General features: G+C 37.6%; 1 annotated feature.

The window, feature by feature from the left end:
- Positions 235 to 435: a silencer, noted in NCBI's record as "peak626 fragment used in MPRA reporter construct". NCBI's record gives its function as "represses an SCP1 promoter by STARR-seq MPRAs in K562 erythroleukemia cells {active_cell/tissue: K562}" and the evidence as "EXISTENCE:reporter gene assay evidence [ECO:0000049][PMID:32103011]".

The raw sequence follows: 646 nt of genomic DNA on the forward strand, positions 1-646 counted from the left end.
GGCATAGTGGATGAAATAACGTCTGCTTAAGAGAACTGCAGAAGAAGAAAAAGATGAAAAACGCGATCTTAGGGGAGCATCTGATTTCAGTTATAGCAGAGAGTAACAAACCCCTTGAGAGAACATTGCTGAACTTACAAGGTGGTCTGCTGAAAGAGAGCAAGAGTTCAATGAGGCAGTGTGAATGATTGTTGAAGCAGATGAGGACATATGATTGGTGTTCTTTATATGTTATGTTTCCATGAGGATGGAGTAATATTAGAGGAGCCAGGGTCTGGGATTTGGGAGCTCTTTTATTTGACTTACATTTACAGAAATGTAGGGAATTAGCCTAGATGATATCTTTTCAGGCATACTGTCACGTCTTGTCTAAGAACAGTGATGTCAAGGAGAGGTATTTTTGGAGACACAAAAGAAGGATCTTAGGCCTTCTCTATTGTGAGTCTGATAATGTCCAGGTCAGTGTCACTAGTATCAAGTAGAGTATTGTGAAATTTTTTGAGCAGTCATTTCAAAATTGGTATTGAGACTGGTGGAATGTGTTAACTGGATTCCCTGTTTATGTGTGTGCATGTATTAGGAAGTCATATAGTCATAGTATATACTTTCTATATATAAGCATCTATATATATATAATTGCAGAGTT

Source organism: Homo sapiens, chromosome 1 (assembly GCF_000001405.40).
Source record: "Homo sapiens chromosome 1, GRCh38.p14 Primary Assembly".
In the NCBI taxonomy this organism is placed as follows: domain Eukaryota; kingdom Metazoa; phylum Chordata; class Mammalia; order Primates; family Hominidae; genus Homo; species Homo sapiens.